General features: G+C 52.4%; 1 protein-coding gene across 2 annotated transcripts in view, besides 2 other annotated features; it reads right to left on the bottom strand.

Moving 5' to 3' along the window:
* Positions 1–24739, bottom strand: part of CDHR2 (cadherin related family member 2) — a 53464-nt gene that overhangs the window by 14920 nt on the left and 13805 nt on the right. For both annotated transcript variants that reach the window (NM_001171976.2, NM_017675.6), the window contains exons 2-16: positions 15651–15717; positions 15312–15383; positions 12238–12377; positions 12045–12095; positions 9753–9842; positions 6883–6972; positions 5846–5971; positions 5629–5775; positions 5474–5549; positions 5216–5331; positions 4870–5103; positions 3501–3656; positions 3257–3418; positions 2960–3021; positions 2447–2690 (exon numbers count right to left, since the gene is read on the bottom strand). In NM_001171976.2, the coding sequence (NP_001165447.1) occupies positions 2447–2690; positions 2960–3021; positions 3257–3418; positions 3501–3656; positions 4870–5103; positions 5216–5331; positions 5474–5549; positions 5629–5775; positions 5846–5971; positions 6883–6972; positions 9753–9842; positions 12045–12095; positions 12238–12377; positions 15312–15383; positions 15651–15702 (1818 nt within the window). In that variant the 5' untranslated portion in view covers positions 15703–15717. The remainder of the gene's footprint in view (positions 1–2446; positions 2691–2959; positions 3022–3256; positions 3419–3500; positions 3657–4869; positions 5104–5215; positions 5332–5473; positions 5550–5628; positions 5776–5845; positions 5972–6882; positions 6973–9752; positions 9843–12044; positions 12096–12237; positions 12378–15311; positions 15384–15650; positions 15718–24739) is intronic.
* Positions 2333–2627: a silencer, noted in NCBI's record as "tiled region #7457; HepG2 Repressive DNase unmatched - State 12:CtcfO". NCBI's record gives its function as "represses a minimal TATA promoter and a strong SV40 promoter by Sharpr-MPRA in HepG2 cells {active_cell/tissue: HepG2}" and the evidence as "EXISTENCE:reporter gene assay evidence [ECO:0000049][PMID:27701403]".
* Positions 13974–14939: an enhancer, noted in NCBI's record as "H3K4me1 hESC enhancer chr5:175993117-175994082 (GRCh37/hg19 assembly coordinates)". NCBI's record gives its function as "activates a minimal SCP1, AML or CMV promoter by ChIP-STARR-seq in primed H9 embryonic stem cells {active_cell/tissue: H9 hESC(primed)}" and the evidence as "EXISTENCE:reporter gene assay evidence [ECO:0000049][PMID:30033119]".

The following is a 24739-nucleotide window of genomic DNA, read 5'->3' as shown; positions in this document are numbered from 1 at the left end:
CATCAAGACAGGCCCTTTTGCTACTGATATTCTAGCAGGAAGGGGGATATGGGGGCAGGAAATTGTAGACAAAGAAAGTTTTAAACTCATAAGTGTGAAGTCCAGCAAGATTCTCATTTTCCCATAATGACTACTTCAGTGCTATATACATATTTTTTCTTTTTTCTTTTTTCTTTCATACAGTTTCGCTCTTGTTGCCCAGGCTGGAGTGCAATGGTGCGATCTCTCTTGCTCACTGCAAACTCCTTCTCCTGGGTTCAAGTGATTCTCCTGCCTCAGCCTCCTAAGTAGCTGGGATTACAGGCACCCACCACCACACCAGGCTAATTTTTTGTATTTTTTAGTAGAGATGGGGTTTCACCATGTTGGCCAGGCTGGTCTTGAACTCCTAACCTCAGGTGATCCACCTGCCTCAGCTTCCCAAAGTGCTGGGATTACATACAGGCGTGAGCCACCACGTCTGGCCCTTCTTTTGTTTTGTTTTGTTTTCTTTTTTTTCTTTCTTTCTTTCTTTTTTTTTTTTTTTGAGGTGGAGTCTCACTCTGTTGCCCAGAGTGGAGTGCAGTGCCATGATCTCAGCTCACTGCAGCTTCCAATTCCTGGATTCAAGTGATTCTCCTGCCTCAGCCTCCCAAGTAGCTGGGATTACAGGCATGCACCACCACACCCAGCTAATTTTTGTAATTTTAGTAGAGATGGGGTTTCACTATGTTGGCCAGGCTGGTTTCGAACTCCTGATCTCAAGTGATCCACCCACCTCGGCCTCCCAAAGTGCTGAGATTACAGGCAGGAGCCACCATGCCCGGCCGTCAGCGCTATATGTTTTAAATAGCTGATTCTTCACTCACTTTGTATGTCTGTGAGTGCGTGTGTGAGTGTGTGTGAGTGCGTGTGTGAGTGTGTGTGTGAGTGCGTGTGTGAGTGCGTGCGTGAGTGTGTGTGTGTGTTCCTGTCCTGCCAGGGCCCTGAAGGCATGCTTGGTTTGTCTTTGGGGTGAACCAGTGTGGATAACACAGCGGGTTCCTCTGTGCCGCCAGGCCTTTGCAGGTTCCGTTCCCTCACCCCGATGCCTCCCACACCTTCCCTGCCTGACTCCAGGCCAGGTTGGCGCTTCCTCTGGGCCTCAACATAGCACAGGTGACACCGCTGGGTGACTGTCTGACGCCCTCTTCCTAACTGGGAGCCGCCTGGGGGGCAGGAATGGTGGTGGACTCATCTCTGAGGACTCAGGGCCCAGCCAAAGACTGGGTAAGTGCTCAGCAAACGTGGCCTTGAATCCAGAGTGGGACCACTCCGACTCAACCAATTCTTTCCTTCCTCCCAGCCAGTCTCCACCTTCAGCTCCTCCATTTCATTCTGCTGGGACCTTGTTTATTACATGCATCCTTTGAAAGCAGCTGGAGATGTTTATTTTTTCCAAAAGCCTCATCCTGTCTGCTCATCCTTTGGTGCCCTGAACTCAGGCCAGTTAATTCATCAAGTGCTCCCTGGGGCTCATGCTGGGCACCACGGTTACAGCAGCCGACCAGAAATGCTCCTGCCCCAAGGAGCTCACAGACCAGGGGAGAAGTGCCAAGCAGGAAGGAGGAAAGGCCAAGGCTTCAGGGCCAGAGAGGTCTGGGCTGCAGCCCCAGCGCCATCATTTACTGGCTGTGTAACCACAGAAAATCACTTAACCTTTCTGAGCCTGTTGTCTCCTGAGAAATGGGAACTATTAGACCGCCTGCTTCCAAAGCTGGTCAAGAGATCAGGGATAGGAACATGCTCTGGAAACTACACAGTCCTGGAAAGACGGGAGGGCTCTGTGGCCACCAGATTGTCACTCTGAGGACCTGGTTTCTCACTTCTCACAAGATGCCTCAGGGGCGAAGCTTCCGAACTCCTCAGGACGAGGGAGGAAGCTACTCCCCGGTGTTTCTCTGGAGTCACTAGTGGGTTTTTATCTCATGAACTCTGTGAACCTGGCCACTGATCTCATTTCCTTTTTTGCTTTGGCCACCATGAAGCTCAGATCAGAATTTGCAGCTCACTCCAAGCAATTCTGTAGCACTGGGTTCTAATTTTACCTTGTGCCCTTTAACAAATGCCACCTTTATTTTCTCTTTTTTCTTATTTCTTTCATATTTTTATCTTACTATTTATCTAAGCCACCTCAAGTCCTTTTTGGAGTGGGGCAGGTGGGTAAATAAAAAAGAAGTGTATGTTTTTGAGGGATTTCTCTGGCAGGCCCAGTGCTGAGCTCCTCACACAAGTCATTAAATTATTCCCCAATGACCCTGAGAGTAAGGCTATAATTTTCTTCATTTCCTGGGAGGAAACAGAGACTCTGAGTGACTGTCTCAGAGCCACACAGCGGAGCCCCGACTTTACCCAGGGCCAGCATGCCCACAGAGCAGGCTTGGTCCCCTCCCCCAGCCTTACCCACCAGGTCCAGGCAGGCTCACACCTGGATGGTCACGGAGACATTGCCCTCCTCCTCCTGGACGAAGATGTTGTAGGAGCCGCTAACCACGGGTGCATTGTCGTTGATGTCCAGCAGGTGGATCTGCAGTGTGGTGGAGGAGGACAGGTTCCCGCCGTCTGTGGCCTGCAGCGTCAGGTAGTACACGGCCTGGCTCTCCCGGTCCAGCAGCTCACCGTTCCTCACCGTCACCGTCCCTGAGACGGGATCCACTTGGAAGAGGTCTGCCCTGCTCAGAGGGGCCAGGTTCAGCAAATAGAGACACAGGATGCCCATTTCAGTGTGAATTTCAGATATACAACAACAAATATTTCAGCATATCCCATGCAGTATATGCAACATATTCATTATTTCAAAAAGTCATTCCTTGTTTATCTGAAATTGAAATGTAACTGAGTGCCTTCGGTCTTCCCCAGCTATTCTATCTCTGCAGAGAGGCAGAGAGGTGGGCCTGGGCCCTGCTCACCCACCTGCCTACGGCCCACCCTGAGCCCTTACCCATTTCCTGGGAGCAGGCTGTAGGTAATTTGGCCCCACGCGCCCGTGTCTGGGTCCGTGGCCTGTGAGGCAGAGACATGGCAGGGTGCTGTGTGGAGGCGATGCACGCACCGCCACCCATGCAGCTCGTGGGGACAGAGCTGTCGTGCTTCCTCACACAAAGGGAGAATCCCCAGCACACTCAGATTCACTCATGGCCACCCCCATCTCACACATACACACACACACACTCTCACACTCACACATGCACGCCCGCTTGCTGGGACCCCACAGCCCCACTGTGTCCACATCACTCACGTGGATGCTGTCGGTGACCACAGAGCCGGTGGCGCTGTGCTCTGGCACCGTGAGGACGTACAAGCTCTGGGGAAACGTGGGCCTGTGGTCATTAATGTCTCTAAGGTGGATGGTCACCATGGCGACGGAGAAGTTCTGGCTGACGGAGTCTGTGGCCACAACCTGGGGGCAGGGGAGGAGGCAGCAGCTGTGGGGCCCAAGTGCCCCTCGGCTTCTGCCCCTGGCACCCCGGAGCAGCCCTCACCTGCACCGCCATCGCCGTCTGCCTCTCGTAGTCCACCAGCGCGGATACTCTCACCAGCACCTGAACGGAGGCTGAGCCCACTGCCCGCTCCGGGGAGACGCTGAAGGCTTCTGCATCGGGGCCCCCCAGCGACAACAGGAAGGTGCCATTGCTGCCCTGTAAAGGTGGGCTGTCTAGCAGGGACCTGTCCCCCTGCTCTGCCCACCTGCATCTTCCCCCAGTCCCCAGGCTTCTATCTCTGGATGCCCCGCCCGATGAGGTCCCATGGAAGGGGGCTCTCAAAAGACTGCGAGAGAGGGTGCAGGAGGCTGGGCTGGTCACCAGTCCCTGCAAATGCAGGCTCTGTAGAAGACAGCTCCCTAGGCACTGTGGGTCCCAGACCTGGGCTGGAGCCTGGACACACACCCCTCACTCCTGTCAGCTGTCCCTCCCACCCACCCTTCACATCCCCCACCCCCAGCCCCCACAGCAACACCAAACACCACTCACACCCTACGTCACCCCACTGGCCAGTGCCACCCTTCTGGCCAACCTAACCCCACCCGACACTGTCCTCCACGCAACATTTCCAACCCCTCAGTATCACCTAACACCATACACCCTCCAGAGTTACTCATCCTCCAGCGCCACCGTGTTACCCACCTCTCACTGCAGCCTCCACTTAAGAGTGCCTCCCATGGCTGGGCGCGGTGGCTCACGCCTGCAATCCCAGCACTTTGGGAGGCCAAGGTAGGTGGATCACTTGAGGTCAGGAGTTCAAGACCAACCTGGCCAACATGGTGAAACTCCATCTCTACTAAAAACACAAAAATTAGCTGGGCGAGGTGGTGCACACCTGTAATCACAGCTACTTGGGAGGCTGAGGCAGGAGAATCCCTTCCACCTGGGAGGCAGAGGTTGCAGTGGGCCAAGATTGGGCCATTGCACTCCAGCCTGGGTGACAGAGCGAAATTCCATCTCAAAAAAAAAAAAAAAGAGCACCCTCCCACCTCACACCCTCAGACCACTTGTCCCAACACTGCTCAGCCTCCCCCAGTTCCCAGGACTACCCAAATCATGGCCGCCCAATGCCAGGAGACCTCGCCAGCCACCCATCACCACGGACAATGATGTTCTACTCAGCATCATCTGACGTTCTACGTCAGCCTCCACTCAGCATGGCCTTCTATTCAGCCCCACACGGATCGCCCAGAGGATGATACTGCTTACCAACACAGGCTTCCAGAGAGCACCCAGCACCCCCATTCTCCGCCATCACACCCTGCACCACCAGCACCGCCACCCAGCACCACATGACACCGTCACTCGATCCAGGCTCCCACTGGCCTCCCCCAGCCACCCCCGCCCACACCCACGCCACCACGCCTGCCTTGTCCGGGTCGTAGACCACCATGGTGAGGTCATCGATGGGGATGCGGGGGGAGGCATGCTCGTCCACGTAGCCAGTGAAGTTCACTTGGGCCTCTTCGGGGGTGAAGGTGCAGGCTGGGAGGCTGCAGTTGTAAAACTCAGGTTTGTGGTCATTGACGTCCATCACTCTCACTGTCACCCAGATGCTCACCTTGGCCTCCTGCCCGTAGATGTTGAGGTGTGTCTCGGTGGCCTGAGGCACAGAGCAGAGGGCAGAGGGCAGAGAGCCAGTGCTCAGAGAGAGAGATCAAAGGCCAGAGGTTAGAGAGCAGGGTTCTGACAGGGGTGGTGGGGCCTTTGCTCACCGTGACCTGCAGCTGCACCTCCTCATCCGCCTCCAGCAGCTGCTCACGGTCCAGGGAGCCGTTGACCCTGATCACCCCATCTGCCCCGATGTCAAACCAGCCGGGCCGCGTGGAGTCTGGCAAGGAGAAAGGCGGAACAGCTGGAACAGCTGCTCCAGTGGCTCTGACGGAGCCCCAGGCCCATTGCCTCCAGGGACTCTGACGGAGACCCCACCCTGGCCCCGGCCCAGCCCTGGCCTGGGGACACCCCGTTCTCACAGGAGATGCTGTAGATCACAGGGTCATTGATGCCTTTGTCGCCATCCACAGCCTCCACCGTCAGCACCGAGGTTCCCTGGAATGGGGCCTGGTCAGTGCTCCTCAAACTTCCCCGCCTCCCGCCTCCACCCACACCCCACAGGTCCCCCGTGCACCTTGGCTGCATCCTCAGCCACAGAGGCCGAGTAAAACTCCCTGACAAACTGGGGGTCAAGGTCAGGCTGGTCCACCACGGAGATGGACAGGAAGACAGGCAGGGAGCACTGGATGGTGAAGGTGTTGTGGTACATGCCGCCCAAGTCCTGCGGGGAGATGGCCACCCGTGAGCCAGCGCCGTGGGTCCTAGGCCCGCCTGCCGGCACCCCCACTCACACAGGCCTTCAGCTCCAGCTGGTAGAAAGCGCTCTTGTTGTTGTAGCTGAGGCTGCCATTGAGGACTATGGAGCCATTGGCCAGGATCCGGAAGAGATGCTCGCTGTCCCCAGTGCTAGGGATGACCTGGGGCAGAGCAGACTTGGGTCAGGCTCCCTAGGGACAGCCCTGCACCGAGGACCCCACTCTGAGCAACGCAGGGAAGGTCCCAGCTCTGCCACTGACCAGTCACGCCACTGGCACCAGGTCATATGACCTCTCTGAGCCTCAGTTTCCAGCTCCAGGAAATGGGGCTGGTGACAACCCTCAGTGGGTTGAAAGGAGGATCCAATAAGATGCAGTCGGCCCTCCATCTCTGTGGCTTCCACATCCACAGATTTGACCAGCACAGATCAAAACTGTAGCTAGGCTCACTCACAATGGTTGCGTCTGTACTGAAGGTGTACAAACTTTTTCCCTTGCCATGATTCCCTAAACAATATAGCATAACATGCTATAGTTACATAGTATTTGCATTGCATTGGTATTGGAGGTAACCTAGAGGTGATTTAAAGCACACAGGAGGATGTGTCTAGGTTACATGCAAATACTACCCCGTTGCATGTCAGGGACTTGAGCAGCCATGGATTTTGGTGTCCTCAGGGATCCTGGAGCCAAGTCCCCACGGATACCAAGGGGCGACTATACAGTATGTGCCAGGCACGTGGTTGGTGCTCGGTAAATGGCGCTATCAACAGCAAGTCTGTTTCCATGAGAAATGGGTTTACACACCCCTTATTGTCTGTGGAATTTGGACAAGACCTGGGAGCAGGCGGGCAGGAAGAAGGGTCTGGTCTGCAGCAGGCACCCTCTTTAGGTAAGCGGGCAAGGCGAGGTTTCCGGGGAGGGGGGCTGGTGGCCAGAGGACGGTTTGGGGACCAGGGCTGGGCCAAGGCAGGACCAATGTCCCCACCCCAACGTTCAGGCCCTGTGGGTTGTCTGTGGAGATGCTGCCCCCTGGCGGTCACAAAGGCGGTCAGGGCCCCCTTCACACTCACCTTCTCTATGGAGTACACGACCATGCCTGCAGACCCCATGTCTTTATCCACGGCCAGCACGGAGAACACCACACTGCCCACGGGCAGGGTCTGCAGGGAGGGACTCGTCACCTATGAGCTCAAATCCAGCTCCTCCTCTCCCTTGTCCGTCACTGCCCCCCTGAGCTTCAGTGTCCTCAGCTGTGCACTCATGGGGACAGGGTTCCCCTGTCCTTCCCACCAGGGCTGCGGGTGGAAGGCACCTGGGGGTGCGGGGCGGCAGAGAGGATCTCCCTCCTCCCCTCCCCACACAGCCTCTCCACCACCTAAGCTGGCTTCTGATTGTCGGAGCCCCTCAGAACCAGGATGAGGGATCATTCTAGAGCCCAGCCTCACTGTGCCACTGCGCACTCAGACATCCCATGTGCTCTCTACAGCCTATAGCCATGGGTTTCAAACAGCGCCCTACAGAGCTGGAGGCTTCTTTGGGGAGTACTCTGCTCCTGGGCCCCTGTACACACCAACTCTACCTCCTTTTTTTTTTCCTGAGATGGAGTTTCACTCTTTCGCCCAGGCTGGAGTGAAGGGGCACGATCTCGGCTCACTGTAACCTCTGCCCCCTGGGTTTAAGCGATTCTCCTGCCTCAGCCTCCCCAGTAGGTGGGATTATAGGCGCCCACCACCATGCCTAGCTAATTTTTTTTATATATATTTTTAATAGAGACAGGGTTTCACCGTGTTGGCCAGGCTGGTGTCGAACTCCTGACCTCAGGTGATCCACCCGCCTCAGCCTCCCAAAGTGCTAGGATTATAGGTGTGAGCCACCGTGCCCAGCCACGACCTATACTTCCTAATGGTGGCCACAGAGATCTTTGAAAATCATGAATCAGACCACATAACTCTTCTCCTTCAAATCCCCCAAGAGTCCCCCCATTCTGCCCAGATCACAGTCCAGACTCCTTCGAGCCTGGGCTGCCACTCGCCTCTCTGACCTGACCTCCTCCTCACCCTCCCCCTCCAGCCACACTGGCTGAGCTTGTTCCTGCCTCAGGGCTTTGCACCTGTTGTTCCCCCTGCCTGGAGCACCCCTTCCTGGAGCATCCCCTGCCAGCTCCTTCTTGCCATTCAGGTCTCTCTGTTCAGATGCCCTCAACTCAGAGAGGCCTTTCCTGACCCTTCAACCTAAAGCAGTGCCCGCTGCAGTCACTTCCTTGACTTTGCCTTGTCTCGTGCTCATTGTGGGGCTCACCGCCATCTGAAATCCATTCTGCTTATTTTGTTTCATTGGTTCCTGTCTGTGGCCTTCCCTAGAAGGTGAGCTGCTGAGAGTAGCAACCAGGTCTGTCTTGCTCCCCAGGTAACCTTAGCACCTAGACAGTGCCGGGTGCTGAGGCATTGCATCAGAGCCTCTCACATGGCTGTCCAGACCACACGTGTCTGGCCTGGCATGGGGCCCCCCACCTGGAAGGTCTTTGCAGGCACATGGCAACGGAAGTTCAGGAGTGGTGGTATTTGCTGCCCAGTGACCATCAGGGAATCTCCTTTCCACCCATGTAGCTTAAGTGGAACTGTCCCCACTCCTCCCCCTTGCTGCGGGGAAGGCCCACGATGCAGACCCAACCCATGAGAGCCTTCCATACCCCTAAATTAGCTCAAGGATAGCACATGACCTAAAATGAGCCAATGAAAGTCAGCCCTGGGCTTTGGGCTGGAAAGATTGAGAAAGAGACGGTCTCCTCAATGTGAGCCTGTACTTTTTAATTTTTTAATTTTTTTATTATTTATTTATTTATTTATTTATTTTTGAGATGGAGTTTTGTTCTTGTTGCCCAGGCTGGAGTGCAATGGTGCAATCTCGGCTCACTGCAACCTCTGCCTCCCAGGTTCAAGCAATTCTCCTGCCTCAGCCTCCTGAGTAGCTGGGATTACAGGCATGTGCCACCACACTCGGCTAATTTTTTTTTTTTTTTTCAGTAGAGACGGGGTTTCTCCATGTTGGTCAGGCTGGTCTCCAACTCCCGACCTCAGGTGATCCGCCCACCTCAGCCTCCCAAAGTGCTGGTATTACAGGAGTGAGCCACGGCACCCGGCGAGCCTGTACTTTTATCACCACATGAGAGACTTGCCTCTCTTCCCCCAGGATGGAGGCAATAAGAGAAGCAGAGCTGAGAGGAGGAGAGAAACTCAAATCATATCTTGATGTGATTTGAGTACCTGGATCCAGCCATGCCTGAAGATATGATTTCAAATCAAATTTCACGATATGATTTGGCTCAAATCAAATCAAGATATGATTTGAGTACCTGGATCTAGCCATGCCTGAAGTCTGAGGTACCTCTAAATTTTTTAGATACACGAGGCTGGGCGCAGTGGCTCACGCCTGTAATCCCAGCACTTTGGGAGGCCGAGGCGTGCGGATCACGAGGTCAGGAAATCGAGACCATCCTGGCTAACACGGTGAAACCCCGTCTCTACTAAAAATGCAAAAAATTAGGCGGGCGAGGTGGCGGGCGCCTGTAGTCCCAGCTACTTGGGAGGCTGAGGCAGGAGAATGGTGTGAACCCAGGAGGCGGAGCTTGCAGTGAGCCGAGATCGTGCCACTGCACTCCAGCCTGGGCAACAGAGTGAGACTCCGTCTACACAAAAAAAATCAACTCCCTTTTTTTTTTTTGCTTTCATCACTGAAAGAATTCCTAACCTGACTGATTGCAAAATATTGCTGTAACCAGTTTGTGGGGTTACATCCCCCTGGCTTTGGTTCTTGAAGCTGCCCCTGCTAGGAGAGGTTTTTCCCAACTCTGAATGCCCCACTGACTGTCTCTGGCTCTTCCTACTCTGAGAAGCACTTTGGGATGCCCCCTGCCCCACAACCACATTAAGGCAGGTGTCACCTCGTTGATGCTGGTGGAGAAAGCGGTGTTCTGGAAAACGGGTGCGTTGTCGTTTCTATCTTCCACAATCACCAGCATCTCCCTCTGCACCTGCAAGTGAGAAAGCCCAGGGGACCCCAGAAAATAGGATTTAAAACACCAGAAAAGTTGCAAGTATCGTACAAAGAGCTGGTGTCCTTCATCCAGATCAACCTACTGTTTGGTCTCTCTTTCTCTCCATATGTTTTTGGGGGCTTTTTTTTTTTTTTTTTTTTTTTTTTTTTTTGTAGAGACCAGGTTCTCTCCATATGTTGTTTTCTGAACCATTTGAAAGTAAGTTGCAGGCATCATTAGTTAATTTTTTTTTTTTTTTAGACAGAGTTTCATTCTTGTTACCCAGGCTGGAGTACAATGGCGTGATCTCATCTCAATGCAACCTCCGCCTCCCAGGTTCAAGCAATTCTCCTGCCTCAGCCTCCTGAGTAGCTGGGATTACAGACATGCACCACCACACCCAGTTAGTTTTTGGTATTTAGTAAAGATGGGGTTTTACCATGTTGGTCAGGCTGCTCTTGAACTCCCGACCTCAGGTGATCTGCCCGCCTTGGCGTCCCAAAGTGCTGGGATTACAGGCGTGCACCACCACGCCAGCAGTTAATTTTTTAAATATAAAATATGCCAGCCAGCCAGGCGCAGTGGCTCATGCCTGTGTACTTTGGGAGGCCAAGATGGGAGGATCGCTTGAGCCCAGGAGTTCAAGACCAGCCTGGGCAATATGGTGAGACTCTGTCTCTACAAAAAATTTTAAAATTAGCTGAGTATGGTTGGTGAGCGCCTGTAGTCCCAGCTACGCTGGAGGCTGAGTTAAGAGGATTGCTTGAGTCCAGGAGGTGGAGGCTGATGTGAGCTGTGATTGCACCACTGCACTCCAGCCTGGGCAAGAGTAAGATCCTAACTCAAAAAGATAAAATAAAAAGTTGGAAAAAAGTGCCTGTCCTATCACGGGAATGTGCACGTTCGCTTTGTTTGCCATAGTATAAAGCTGTGAACAACTATGTGGACACCAGAGGGAACCAGCTTAAGGGCAGTTCCCACCATAGATATAGACGTTACAAAAATTGGGGATTTGTAAGACCCAGAGAGAGCTCTAAGCTCAATCGCTGAGTGGGCAAGGCAGCTTTCAAGACAATATAGACAGCTGGATTCCACTGGGTTTCAAAAAATGCACCAAGAAGTACATGGAGGCATGTACCTCAGCGCTGAGAAGTGTCAAAGCATACAGTAACGGTCAACACTTCAGTGGGAGTGAGCTGGAAAGGATTTTCCAAGGGGACTTTCGTTTTATCTGTAATTTTTTTTTTTTTGAGACGGAGTCTCGTGCTATCACTCAGGCTGGAGTGAGGTGGTGCAATCTCGGCTCAATACAACCTCCACCTCCCGGGTTCAAGCGATTCTTGTGCCTCAGCCTCCTGAGTAGTTGGAATTACAAGCGTGTACCACCATGCCCAGCTAATTTTTGTATTTTTAGTAGAGATGGGGGTTTCTCCATGTTGGCCAGGGTGGTCTTGAACCCCTGACCTCAGGTGATCTGCCCACCTCGGCCTCCCAAAGTGGGAAATAAGAGTGTAGTTGCAACATATTCAGCCAAAGCAGTTGAGAGTGATTTTGCCTCTGGAGCCCTGGGGTGGAGAGGTATTTGGCACTTTTCTAATCAATATTTATATACATTAATAATACATTTAGGCCGGGCGTGGTGGCTCACGCCTGTAATCCCAGCACTCTGGGAAGCCGAGGCGGGCGGATCACAAGGTCAGGAGATCAAGACCATCCTGGCTAACACAGTGAAACCCCGTCTCTACTAAAAATACAAAAATTAGCCGGGCGTGGTGGCTGGCGCCTGTAGTCCCAGCTACTCGGGAGGCTGAGGCAGGAGAATGGCGTCAACCCAGGAGGCGGAGCTTGCAGTGAGCCGAGATCGCGCCACTGCACTCCAGCCTGGGCGACAGAGCGAGACTCCGTCTCAAAAAAAAAAAAAACATTTAATTTACAATTAAAATATAACCAATATATTTATATGTAAACAAAAAAGCCCTCATATGATATAAATAATATATTTATGTAATTTAAATAAATTTTAAAAATACTAAAATCTTGGTAATGTCATATGACAAAGAAATGAACTAGTATAATCTCGATATAAATAAACATTAAATTCACTGTTAACTGGGGCACCGTCCGCTTGCCGGAGGTGGGGACACAATCAGGAATGGACTCTCGCAATCCCTGTCTACCCCCCTGCACCTCCCAACTCACCTGGATGTAGGGGTCGCTCACGGAGATGGTGACTTTGAATGTGTAGAGTGTCTGCAGCAGCCAGAGAGAAGGGGCCGGTGGTGAGCCCCCGCTGGGTGGGAGCACAGGGGGTGCCGCCACCAGGACGCGGGCTCCCAGGGCCCTCCCAGCACCCCCTCCGCGTCCCGTGCCCTCTCCGGCTGATGCTCTTTACCTCGTAGTCCAGAGCGCTGGCCAGCTTCACTTCCCCAGTTTTCGGAGTGACAGCGAAGAAGTAGGCATTGGGGCCGCTCATCCCATAGGTCAGAGGGTCATTGTCCTGGTCTTCCGCTACCAACCAGAAGGCCTGGGCACCTGGGGATGGGACAGGGGCCACCCAGGGTCCACAGCCACCCTTTCAGTGCTGGTCTGGCCAAGCTGGCTGTGAGGCTGGGCTGGGCGCCTGGCTGCCCTGTACACAGGCTTGACTTGCCATCTGGGACCTCCCCAACCATCAGCCAAGTCAGCAGCATCCTGATTTCCCTTGTGCCCACTGACTCGATGGGCACTGGACACAGTGCAGGGGGCGGGGGCTGTACCCAGGCATCTACCCCTCCCCTTGCCAAGCCTGTGGCCCTGCCCTCTCCAGAATACCGAGTTTCCGTGACACAAGACTAGACGTGGCTGGTGTGAACCTTTCCAGCTGCAGCATCTGGGTGCAGACTAGAGCTTTGGAGAGCCTTCCAGGACACCCCCTTTCTGCTCAAGTGAGCCAAAGCTGTGTCCAGTCTGCTGCTGGCCTCCTGAGAGCCCTAACTCTTGTACTGCATGCCTGGGCACAGCAGCAGGCTGGTCGCCCACTCCCTAGCCTGAAAGGAACTTTTTACAGATTCATCAAACCCACCCTATCCCTGAGCCCCCACCTCCTTTACCCATCCAGCCTCTGCTCCGACACCTCCACTGGCCCCGATATTCATTAGCAAGGACTTTCTTCTTTTCATGAAGATGCGTTTCCCTGGAGCTCCGCCACAGGGCTCTGAGGGCTTCAGCCACTGGCATGGGAGCCTACGTCCCCTGATACTTTCGTGGCCCACAAGAAAGTTGCATTTCTTTTAAAAGCAGAAGGCCAGGTATGGTGGTTTACATCTGTAATCCCCGCACTCCGGGAGGCTGAGATGGGGGATGGCTTGAGCCTAGGAATTTGAGAGCTGCCTAGGCACATAGCGAGACCCCCATCTATACAAAAAAATTTAAAAATTAGGCCAGGCGAGGTGGCTCATGCCTGTAATCCCAGCACTTTGAGAGGTGGAGGTGGGCGGATCACTTGAGATCAGGAGCTCGAAACCAGCTTGGCCGACATGGTGAAACCCCGTCTCTACTAAAAATACAAAAAATTAACCAGGCCTGGTGGCACGTGCCTATAATCCCAGCTACTGGGGAGGCTGAGGCAGGAGAATTGCTTGAACCCGGGAGGTGAAGGTTGCAGTGAGCTGAGATCGCACCACTGCACTCCAGCCTGGGTGACAGAGCGAGACTCCATCTCAAAAATAAATAAATATAAAAATAAAAAATTAGCCAGGTGTAGTGGTGCACAGTGGCTCATGCCTGTAATCCCAGCACTTTGGGAAGCCGAGATGGGAGAACTGCTTGAGCCCAGGAGTTTGAGACCAGCCTCAGCAATGTAGCAAAACCCTGTCTCTACTTTAAAAAATAAAATATTAGCTAGGCATGGTGGCACATGCCTGTAGTCCCAGCCACCTGGGAGGCTGAGGTGGGAGGATCAGTTGAGCCCAGGAGGTCGAGGCTGAAGTGAGCATGATCGCACCACTACACTCCAGCCTGGGGGACAGAGCCAGACCCTGTCTCAAAAAAAAAAAAAAGTCCTGTGCACTCCTCCCTCTCCAGCCTCCATGGGATAGACATGAGAATAGCACTTGCCTTTAGGGAGCAGAGATTGACTAGAACTGGACACAGGGAACTTTCTGGGGTGATGGAAATACTTTCTCTTGATCAGGGGATTGCTTGCACAGGTTTTGTATTTGTCAATACCCCTTGGTGTCTCTTGTTTCATCTGGCAGCTTTCGACATTCCTGGATTCCATTTTGCACTGCAACAAAGGCTGTGGCTTGTCCCCCAATATCCACTTGTCCCCCTTTTCTGAGAACAATGGAGCCCCAGATTTTGAGCTAGGCACACGGCCAACCAGAATGAAGGCCACATTTGCCAGGTTCCCTTGCAGCTAGGCGTGGGTCTGTGGCTTAGTTTTGGCCAAAGAGACAAAAGCAGAAGCAATGTGTGTAAAATCCAGAAAGGAAGAAGCCCTCTTGTCCCCTTCCTCCTTCTGTGACTGGAATGGTTTCTCGTCTGAGCCATCCTGGCCCATGTGGGTGGGACCTGTGCCTTAGGGAAGTCGGGCCACTGAGCGGGAAGAAGGCTGCGTGACCCCCGCCCCCTCAAGCCCTGCAGGGAGGGCAGCCTGATGGGACATGCCCCCACAGCTCCGTCCGGGCTCCTGGGCGGCCACGAGGGGCGGTAATTCACCTCCGCCTTGTTTGCATCTCTGTTATTTGGGGTCCCAACCAACCCGGCCACCTATGGTTTCTACTTCCCCGATCTATATCCTGCCTTCTGGGAATGTGGTATCTAGGCCCCCTGGCTCCTTCCAAAATAATGTTTCCCAAACTTCATTCGTTCCTGCACCGCTGCCATGACCTTTGCTGTGACTTTTGCCGTGACCATTGCTATGTCTGTGTTCTGTTCCTGGTGCTCATTCCTTAAATTGACTTTCCATCTCATGTAAAGACATTTACTTTAAAAGCAAACTTTACATCTCAAAACCCATCTCACCTGCCATAGACAGAAAGTAACTTTACAAATAAAAACAAAGCAAAGTGAGTCATTAGCTTCTGTGAAAGGGTCTGAGCCTGACACCTGCTCTCCCTTTAAAAAAAAAAAAAGCCAGCGTGGGAGTGGGAGAGATTAGCCAGTGTGAGGAAGGAGGAGGAAGCGTGGCCCAAGGGGATCCTCCAGTCAGAGACTGAAAGCGATGGGCAATGGGGGAGGCCGGATGATTTGGCGCTGGTGTGAGGGCCCCTGGAGGTGCGTCTCACACCTTTGAGGACACTGCTCTTGACCCAGAAGCTGAAGAGAAGAAAACAAACTTCTGGAATCAAAGGAGCTCCCTTCAGTCCCTCTTTGTCCCACAATAAGCCATGGAGTTGCAGGCATGGTGGGGGCTCCAGAGGGCACCCCAGGACTTTCCTGTGGGTCAGGACCTGACATGGGGCAGACACAGGGACCGGGACTCACCCACAGGCAGGTCCTCAGGCAGGATCACTGACGTCATGTTGGCTAGGAACTTCGGGGCCACGTTGGCTGCCACTGTAGGGACACAGTGTGCTGGAACATCGGGACACCCCTGCAAAACCCGATCCCTACCTGCTCCCCTGGGAGCACACACTAGTCCTTATGGCCACCCAGGCCACCCGTCCAGGCCTGGATTCCTCCCCAGGCCTCCCCAGCTTAGCCAAGCACAGGGCTGGCCCATAGGAGCTGGTGTTTGCTGATGAGGGATCCCCCTCCTTTCTGGAGGGTCCTGCCAAGGGTCTCTAGGTTAGGGCTGCGTGGCTGGGGAGGGGAGACACCTACCAGACACCACGAGGGCAGGAAGGAGGAAGCAGGACAGCCATAGCTGGGCCATCACATCCGCAGGGACCTAAGGGAAGAGGTCAGGGAATGGCTCCTGGACTCAGGCCTCCCTCCTTTTGGCAGACTCCCATCTGCCTGGGTCTGACCTGAGCCCACCCACCACTGCTGCTTAGTAGTTCTCCCCCAGGGCCTCTATCACCCTCTGTCCATTTTCCAGATGCTCTAGGGTCAGGGGAACCAAGGGGGAGGCCAGGTGGGGTAGGGGTGACCACGATGTCTGAACCTGAATCCAGGACCTGCCATGCACCAGGAAATGCTCCAAGGCACTAGATGTGCAGCTGTGTTATTCCCACAACTGTGAGGTGGCTGCTAAGGCACCAAGATACGAAGGGGCTTGCCTGAGGCCACGGGGAGTCAATGACAAGACCATGCTTGGAACACAGGTCTTTTGGAGTCCAGAGTTCATTCTCTCAACCACTGCACCATCTATACCTGCCTGTTAGAAGTGTTCAAACTAATAGTATCCTTCACAATCAAGACCCTGGAGAGGGACCATAATTTGTCCAGGACCATCCAGAGACTATGGGTGGGCAGGGTCCTTCGTTCACCTGCTGATACATCTAGTGGCTGTCTTTGCAGCCTTTCCCAAACTGTGCTCCGTGGAACCCTGGCCCTCTGAGATGCGCCACAGCAGAAGGGTTCCCCAGTCAGGTGGGTCTAGGGAGGGCTGCATACTCTGGGATCCTCTTGTTGATTGATAGCCAGACAGAGACCTTAGAAAACCCTGCTGGGCCAGTCTTTTTGATCATCTTATGTTGCAAGCCGTCCCTTGTTAGGGAAAAGGAGAAAAGGGGGACTTTGATTCACTGTCACAGAGAGACCTGAAACATCAAGGCCCTTTCAATGCCCAAAGACAAGGCTGGGCGTGGTGGCTCACGCCTGTAATCCCAGCACTTCGGGAGGCCGAGGCGGGCGGATCACCTGAGGTCAGGAGTTCAAGACCAGCCCGACCAACATGGTGAAACCCTGTCTCTAACAAAATACAAAAAACGTTAGCCGGGCATGGTGGTGGGTGCCTGTAATCCCAGCTACTCGGGAGTCTGAGGCAGGAGAATTGCTTGAATCCGGGAGGCGGAAGTTGCAGTGAGATGAGATCACGCCATCGCATTCCAGCCTGGGAGACAGAGTGAGACTCCGTCTCAAAAAAAAAAGAATCCCCAAAGACAACTGATGTGTCACTCCACAGAAAGCAGGAGAGCAGGATGGGCCCCCACACGTTTTGTTTCTTGCTGTCTGTCTAGAAAGTTGTCTGTATGCTCTATGTTCACTGTGCTACTCTATAATCTTTCTGTAAGACAGGGCTTTTTACTGTATACTTTTTTCTTTTGAGACAGTGTTTCACTATGTTGCCCAGGCTGGCCTTGAACTTCTGGGCTTGAACTCCTGAGTAGCTGGGATTACAGACGTGTGCCACTGTGCCCAGTTTTTTACTGTATACTCTTTTGTGCTGATTGAATATGTTAACTTTTCCAAAAATGAATTAAACAAGCTTGAAAGCAAACAAAGGAACACATTTGCTACTGTAAACTAAAAATAAAATCCTATGCCTCCCACTGACTAAACGGCCCCACTTGTGGCCCAGGAGACCCCAGAAAAACTTTCAAAACTTAGTTTCCAGCCATGGCGGGATGGGAGGTCAATCATGCCTCATTATACCCTTCTCTTTTACAGGCGACACACAATAACCGACCAGCGTTAATGTTAAAATAGAGTTCGCAGGACTGAAAGAATAGACATTCCGTGGCAATAAGATGCCAAATTATAAACAGGACCTGAGGCCATGCCAGGCCAGGGTGAAGCCAGGCAGCCCTACAGAAGAAACTCTGTTCTAACTGCCATGAGGGTTTTTTTTTTCTTTTTCTCTAGCAGCTAAATAAGCACTGGCCTCGAGAAAAGCCAAATTAAAGCAATTACAGCTCATCCAGTTCACAGCTGCTGACGAACTGAGCCCCTGTTCCACCAGCCATAACCGCAGCCTTTTTTGTTTGTTTGGTTTTGAGACAGAGTCTCACTCTGTCACCCAGGCTGGAGTGCAGTGGTGCCATCTCGGCTCACTGCAACCTCTGCCTCCATTGTTCAAGTGATTCTCCTGCCTCAGCCTCCCGAGTAGCTGGGATTACAGGCACCCACCACCACACTGGGCTAATTTTTGTATTTTTAGTGGAGACGGGGTTTCACCGTGTTGGCCAGGCTGGTCTTGAACTCCTGACCTCAAGTGATCTGCCTGCCTCGGCCTCCCAAAGTGCTGGGATTACAGGTGTGAGCCACTGCGCCCAGCCCATAACCACAGCCTTGACTGGACAAGAGACTGATTTCAGTAACTTTCTCCTGATAAGAGCCCACCAACCACAGACCGGCTCCAGCTCATTCAGAGATTGCTTACTCATGCACCTTCCATGTCACAAAAAGGCCTTTTGATGTATAGGGCGTAATTGTAATACATTTACATGTTAAGTTGCCACCCCAAGTGAGCGTGGATCATATGTTGCATGCACGTGTGTTCAACATGCATGTGTCAGGAGCTCCTTTATGAATATGCATAGCTCCTCCTGTAACCTGTTGAATATGTATGTGTAGCCACACTGTCCAGCACCAAGCTCCTGCCCCAAACCCCATTTCGAAGTGTCTGTCTCTGGTCTTGGCCGGAGGGATGGCCACCTGCACATGGTCCCCTCTCTTTTTCTAGATTTATATTTTGTGTTTTTAAAAAAGTTAACACTACCAAGCACCCTCACCTGGTCCTGGGCACCTCTTCATGTCCCTTTCCCTCCTGCCCCAGAGCATCTGAAGTAAGCACGCAGCCCTGGGGAGGAGTGGGGGTAGAGGATGGCTTCCAGAGCCGAGCCCTGATGATGAAACAGCATCAAAAACCAGAACTCTCCCTCACACTGCCCACCCCTCCTCCCGAGTTCCAGCCTCGGGGAGCCACCCACCTGCCCACGCCATTCTGACACCTCCTTCTCCTGAACGCCCACGTCCAATCCGTGCAGCCTCCTCTGTTTCTCTCTAATCAGCCTGCATCTCTCCATCCCATACTGGCCGCCCTCCCTGGGGACACTGTCCTCAGCCTCCTCAAGGCCTCCCTTCCTCCAGCCTCTCTAATCCATCCCACTCAACCAAACTAGTCCTTCTGCACATAATCTAATCTTTTCCGCCCTCACTCAAAACCCTTCGATGGCTCCCCATTGCTAGAGTCCAGACTCCATAAAAGGGCTTCCCAAAGACTACCCTCGACCACTCCAGCTTCACCTCGAACCACTCCCTGCATCTCAGCCCACCCCTCATCTCCCGCACGCCCACAGACTCCCTCTGCCTGCTCTCACTACTGCCCGTCCCTCTTTTTGGAATGCTCTTCCCCGCCTTGCTGGCTGATGCACTCTCTTCATTTTTAAAAGCCAGCTCCAAGGCTGGGTGCGGTGGCTCATGCCTGTAATCCCAGCACTTTGGGAGGCCAAGGCAGGTGGATCACTTGATGTCGGGAGTTTGAGAGCAGCCTGGCCAACATGGTGAAACCCCATCTCTACTAAAAATACAAAAATTAGCCGGGCGAGGTGGCACATGCCTGTAGTCCCAGCTACTCAGGAGACTGAGGCAGGAGAATCGCTCGAACCCGGGAGGTGGAGGTTGCAATGAGTCGAGATCATGCCACTGTACTCCAGCCTGGGTGACAGAGCGAGACTCCACCTCAAAAAAAAAAAAAAAAGAACCCAACTCCAGGATCCCCTTCTGTCCAGACACGCCCTCAATGCTCCCACAGGAGAAACTGCCTCCTCCGCCCATCCATGGTGACCTCACAGGATGCTGCATACACCTGAGAGTAACCTCTGTTATCTCTTTGCAGATGAGCCTCTCCCACCAGGCCAGAAGAGATGTGAGGGCAAGGTCTGCGTCTGATGCACCTTTGTGACCCCAGGACCAAGCACAGGGCTGAGCCCAGTGTAGGCTCAGTGAGTATTTCTGAAAGGAATGAATGGATGAGCCAGTGAGTCACTGCAACCCCAGGTGGCTTATCCAGAACACCCATGAGATAGAGCAGAGTGTAATGTGGTATGTGGACCTGAGAGCCTGGGTCCAAATCCAGCATAACCTTGGGCAAGTAACATACCCTCTCTGGGCCTCAGCTTCCTCACCTGTAAGATGGGAATAATAACAGCACCTACACCAGGGGTTTGTGTTGAGGCTTAAACAGTGCCTAGCTCACAGTAAGTACATAATAAATGTGAGAAGTTATTATTGCAGGAAAAGGACGGTCTGTCTCTTGCCCTTCTCATTGTTGGAGTTCCCATTCCTGGTTCCTCTCTTCCGGAGAACTCTGCCCTGGCCAGCACTGGCTAGCTGCAGGCCCTCCTCCCCCAGTGTGCCCTAGACAGTCAGAGATCCTGGTTCTGATCTGGCTACGTGCTTCCCGGGCATGGTCAGCACCCCGCCCTGAAGCCCCAGCACAGCATTCCCTCTTTTAATTCAGATTCATCTCGCCATGCTCCCCACAGACCTGCTGGGGAAACATGGAACATCAGGAAGGCTGACAATCTTAAATAGCTGCTGGCGTTTCCTGAGCACCTAATATGTGCCGAGTACCCTGATTCGCTCATTCATTCCCTCAGTAAATAGTTACTGGGTATCCATGAGCCGCTATCTGCCAGACCCTGCTCCCAGCAATGGGAAGGCAATGGTGAGCAAAACAGTGCAGGTTCTGAATGAGACAGACTACAGACGAGTACGCAAAGTACCACCTAATAGTGCACTGCATCCCTGCTGTGGAGGAGGGGGATGTGGGCGTGATGAGAGTGAAAGAAGGGAACCGCTTTAAGTGGTATGGCAGACAAACATGACCACAGATCTTTTGACACTCCTTCCTGCAAGAGATGAGGACTATGTCTGCTCCCCTTGAATCTGGTGTATTAATCATTCTTTTTTGGCGTCTTTTTTTTTTTTTAATTTATTTATTGAGACAGAGTTTTACTCCTGTCGCCCAGGCTGGAGTGCAGTAGTGCGATCTTGGCTCACTGCAACCTCCACCCCCTGGGTTCAAGTGATTCTCCTGCCTCAGCCTCCCGAGTAGCTGGGATTACAGGGTGCGCCACCACGCCTGGCTAATTTTTGTATTTTTAGTAGAGACGGGGTTTCACCATGTTGGCCAGGCTGGTCTCGAACTCCTGACCTCAGGCAATCTGCCCGCCTCGGTCTCCCAAATTGCTGGGATTACAGGCGTGAGCCACTGCGCCCAGCCATTTGTTTTTATTTTCTGTGTTTTATGATGCTTTGACATCTTTGGGGCCTTGCTGGTTAGGGAGAGACTTCCCTCCTAGGGCTGGCTAATTCCCAGAGACAGCAAGCGCCTTGCCTTCAGACCTGCCTCTCCTATGCAAACCAACCAATCCAAAGCCACGCCTCAACCACCCTTTATCTAATTCTCACATACGAAGCCGATATTTCCTCGCTGTTAAACACCTCTGTCCTCTACCCACTAGATGCCAGTAGCAACCCCCAAGTTGCAACAGCCAAAAATGTCTCCAGACATTGCCAGGTGTCTCCTGATGGGGGAGGGGCCAGATGTCTCCTGATGGGGGAGGGAGAGTGGTGGTAAGATCACCCCTAGTTGACAGCCACTGTTATAGATTTTAAAAAAAATGCAGGAATTAAAAATTTAATGGAGGAATCAGAATATAAAGTTGAGAAATGGAAACTAGGAGAGAAAAATAAGAAATTAGAGGATTAATCCAGGAGGTCCAATGTCTGATTAATAGAAGTCCCAGAAAGAGAAACAGAGAAGGAAAACAGGGAAAGGAAACTATCAAATGAGTACAAACAATAGATTTTGTATAAGTGAATAACACATTTCCAGACTGAAAGAATTCCAAGAACAAATTTTAGAAAGAAAGGAAAAGAAAACCCAAGCCAAAGCATTTTGAGAGTATTAGGGATAAAGACAAGACCCTGAAATCCTCTGCAGAGAAAAACAAGTGACATACAAAGGACCCAGAATCAGAAGGTTATGGGGCTTTTCGGTAACAATCCTGGAGTTAATGGAGCTATGTGTGGGAGATTAATGGTGTCACAAATTATTTGATATTCCTTCTATTGAGAAGGGAAGTCTAATTCCTCCTCTTGAATCTGAGCTGGCCTTAGTGACTTGCTTGATCAACAGAACGTGGCAGAAATGCAGCATTCAGAAGCTCTGCAGCTTACACCTGGGCCTCTTGGGCCACTTTGCTCTAGGAACCTGGAGATACTTTGTTAGAAGTTCAACTACCCTGAGGCCGCCATGTTATAAGGAAGCCCAAGCTAACCACGTTAAGAGGCCTGTGCGTTGAGGGAGAGCAAGATGTCTAGCCAGTCCCCACTGTCCAACCGCTAATCTTTTACATAATCCCAGCTGAGGCCCCAGACACCATGGAACAGAGTTGAGCAATTCCTGCTATGCCCTATCCAAACTCTTATCCTATAGAATCAGGAAATGAGATTTACACCTCTGGCTAGGGTGAAGGGATGAACTTATGATACCATGTAGAAAACTAAGCAAGCAACCGGGCGCGGTGGCTCACGCCCGTAATCCCAGCACTTTGGGAGGCCGAGGTGGGCGGATCACAAGGTCAGGAGATCGAGACCATCCTGGCTAACACGGTGAAACCCTATCTCCATTAAAAAATACAAAAAATTAGCCAGGCGCGGTGGCTCACGCCTGTAATCCCAGCACTTTGGGAGGCTGAGGTGGGTGGATCGCCTGAGGTCAGGAGTTTGAGACCAGCCTGACCAACATGGAGAAACCCCGTCTCTACTAAAAACAGAAAAAATTAGCTGGGCGTGGTGGCACATGCCTGTAATCCCAGCTACCTGGGAGGCTGAGGCAGGAGAATTGCTTGAACCTGGGAGGCGGAGGTTGCAGTGGGCCGAAATCGCACCATCGCACTCCAGCCTGGGCGACAAGAGGGAAACTCCATCTCAAAAAAAAAAAAAAAAAATTAGCTGGGCATGGTGGCGGGCGCCTGTAGTCCCAGCTACTAGGGAGGCTGAGGCAGGAGAATGGTGTGAACCCGGGAGACGGAGCTTGCAGTGAGCCGAGATGGCGCCACTGCACTCCAGCCTGGGCGACAGAGTGAGACTCCGTCTCAAAAAAAAAAAAAAAAAAATAAGAAAAGAAAACTAAGCAAGCAAAACCAGTGACCATGCAGGAAAGGAAAGCTGTACTAGAAGGAGCCCAGGAACATCATACGCCAGTGGCTCAGGGGGTCCCGTTCCCATGGTCGATGGACTACAACCTTACCATGCGCGCTGGGGAAGCGTGATGGGCTGTAAGATAATAAAATCCTCATCTTTCACTTTAAGAAATTAACAGATAGGCCAGGCTCGGTGGCTCACACCTGCAATCCCAGCACTTTGGGAGGCCAAGGCGGGTGGATCACGCGGTCTGGAGTTTGAGACCAGCCTGGCTAACATGGCAAAACCCTGTGTCTACTAAAAATACAAATATTAGCCGGGCATGGTGGCGGGCTCCTGTAACCCCAGCTATTTGAGAGGCTGAGGCAGGAAAATCGCTTGAACCTGGAAGGCAGATGTTGCAGTGAGCCAAGATCGCACCACTACACTCTAGCCTGGGCAACAGAGCAAGACTCCATTTCAAAATAAAAAAAAAAGAAAGAAAGAAAGAAAGAAAGAAAAAAAAATCAACAGATAATGACTTAGCCCAGGAGGCCGAGGTTGCAGTGAGCAGAGATTTCGTCACTGCACTCCAGCCCGGGCGACAGAGCAAGACCCTATCTCAAAAAAAAAAAAAAAAAAAAAAATCTAAGAAGGTGATAATAAAAAGGAAATAAACAGATAATGTCTTAAAAATTATGAGGCCAGGCACAGTGGCTCACGCCTATAATCCCAGCACTTTGGGAGGCCAAGGCAGATGGACCACTTGAGCTCAGGAGTTTGAGACCAGCCTGACCTACATGGCAAAAACCCGTCCCTGCAAAAAATACAGAAATTAGGCCAGCGTAGTGGCACATGCCTGTAGTCCCAGCTACTTGGGAGGCTGAGGTAGGAGGATCACTCGAGCCCAGGAGCTTGAGGCTGCAGGGAGCCATGAGCACACCACTGCACTCCAGCCTGGGTGACAGAGTGAGATCCTGTCTCAAAAAACAAAAAAAGCAAAACAACAAAATATTATTAAATAACAGGCCAGGCGCCATGGTGCATGCCTGTGGTCCTAGCTACTCGTGAGGCTGAGGTGGGAGAACTGCTTGAGCCCGGGAGTTTGAGGCTGCAGGGAGCCAAGACCTTCCCACTGCACTCCAGCCTTGGGCAACAGAGCAAGAATCCACTGCTAAAAAAAAAAAAAAAGAGAGAGAGAGAGAGAAAGAAGGAAGGAAGGAAGAGAGGAAGGGAGGAAGGGAGGGAGGGAGCGGGGAAGGGGAGGGAGGGGAGGAGGCCAAAGGAGGTGAAAGCAGTTGCTTCTAGAGAGTGGATACTGGGGATGTGGGGTGTGGGTCAGGAAAAGGCCGGCTTTTGTTATAAACCTTGTAGTATCATTTGATATTTTTGTTTGTTTGTTTTAAGGCTAGTCAAGTGAAGCAGTTTGAGTGGAGAAGGAAGAAAGCAATCTGTAACCTGTTGTGATAAATTAGTTGTAAACACCACTGCACTTGGACCAGCCTGTTTAGGTGTTTTTTGTTTGTTTGTTTGTTTGTTTTTTGAGACGGAGTCTCGCTCTGTCGCCCAGGCTGGAGTGCAGTGGCAGGATATCGGCTCACTGCAAGCTCCGCCTCCCGGGTTGATGCCATTCTCCTGCCTCAGCCTCCCGAGTAGCTGGGACTACAGGTGCCTGCCACCACACCCGGCTAATTTTTGTATTTTTAGTAGAGACTGGGTTTCACCATGTTAGCCGGGATGGTCTCGATCTCCTGACCTTGTGATCCGCCCGCCTCGGCCTCCCAAAGTGCTGGGATTACAGGCGTGAGCCACCGCGCCCGGCCTGTTTAGGTGTTTCTTGAGACAAGGTCTTGCTCTGTCACCCATTCTGGAGTGCAATGGCGCTATCCTGG

Source organism: Homo sapiens, chromosome 5 (assembly GCF_000001405.40).
Source record: "Homo sapiens chromosome 5, GRCh38.p14 Primary Assembly".
Taxonomy (NCBI): domain Eukaryota; kingdom Metazoa; phylum Chordata; class Mammalia; order Primates; family Hominidae; genus Homo; species Homo sapiens.
The sequence above is the reverse complement of the archived record's forward strand: the minus strand, read 5'-3'. Positions and strand labels throughout refer to the sequence as shown.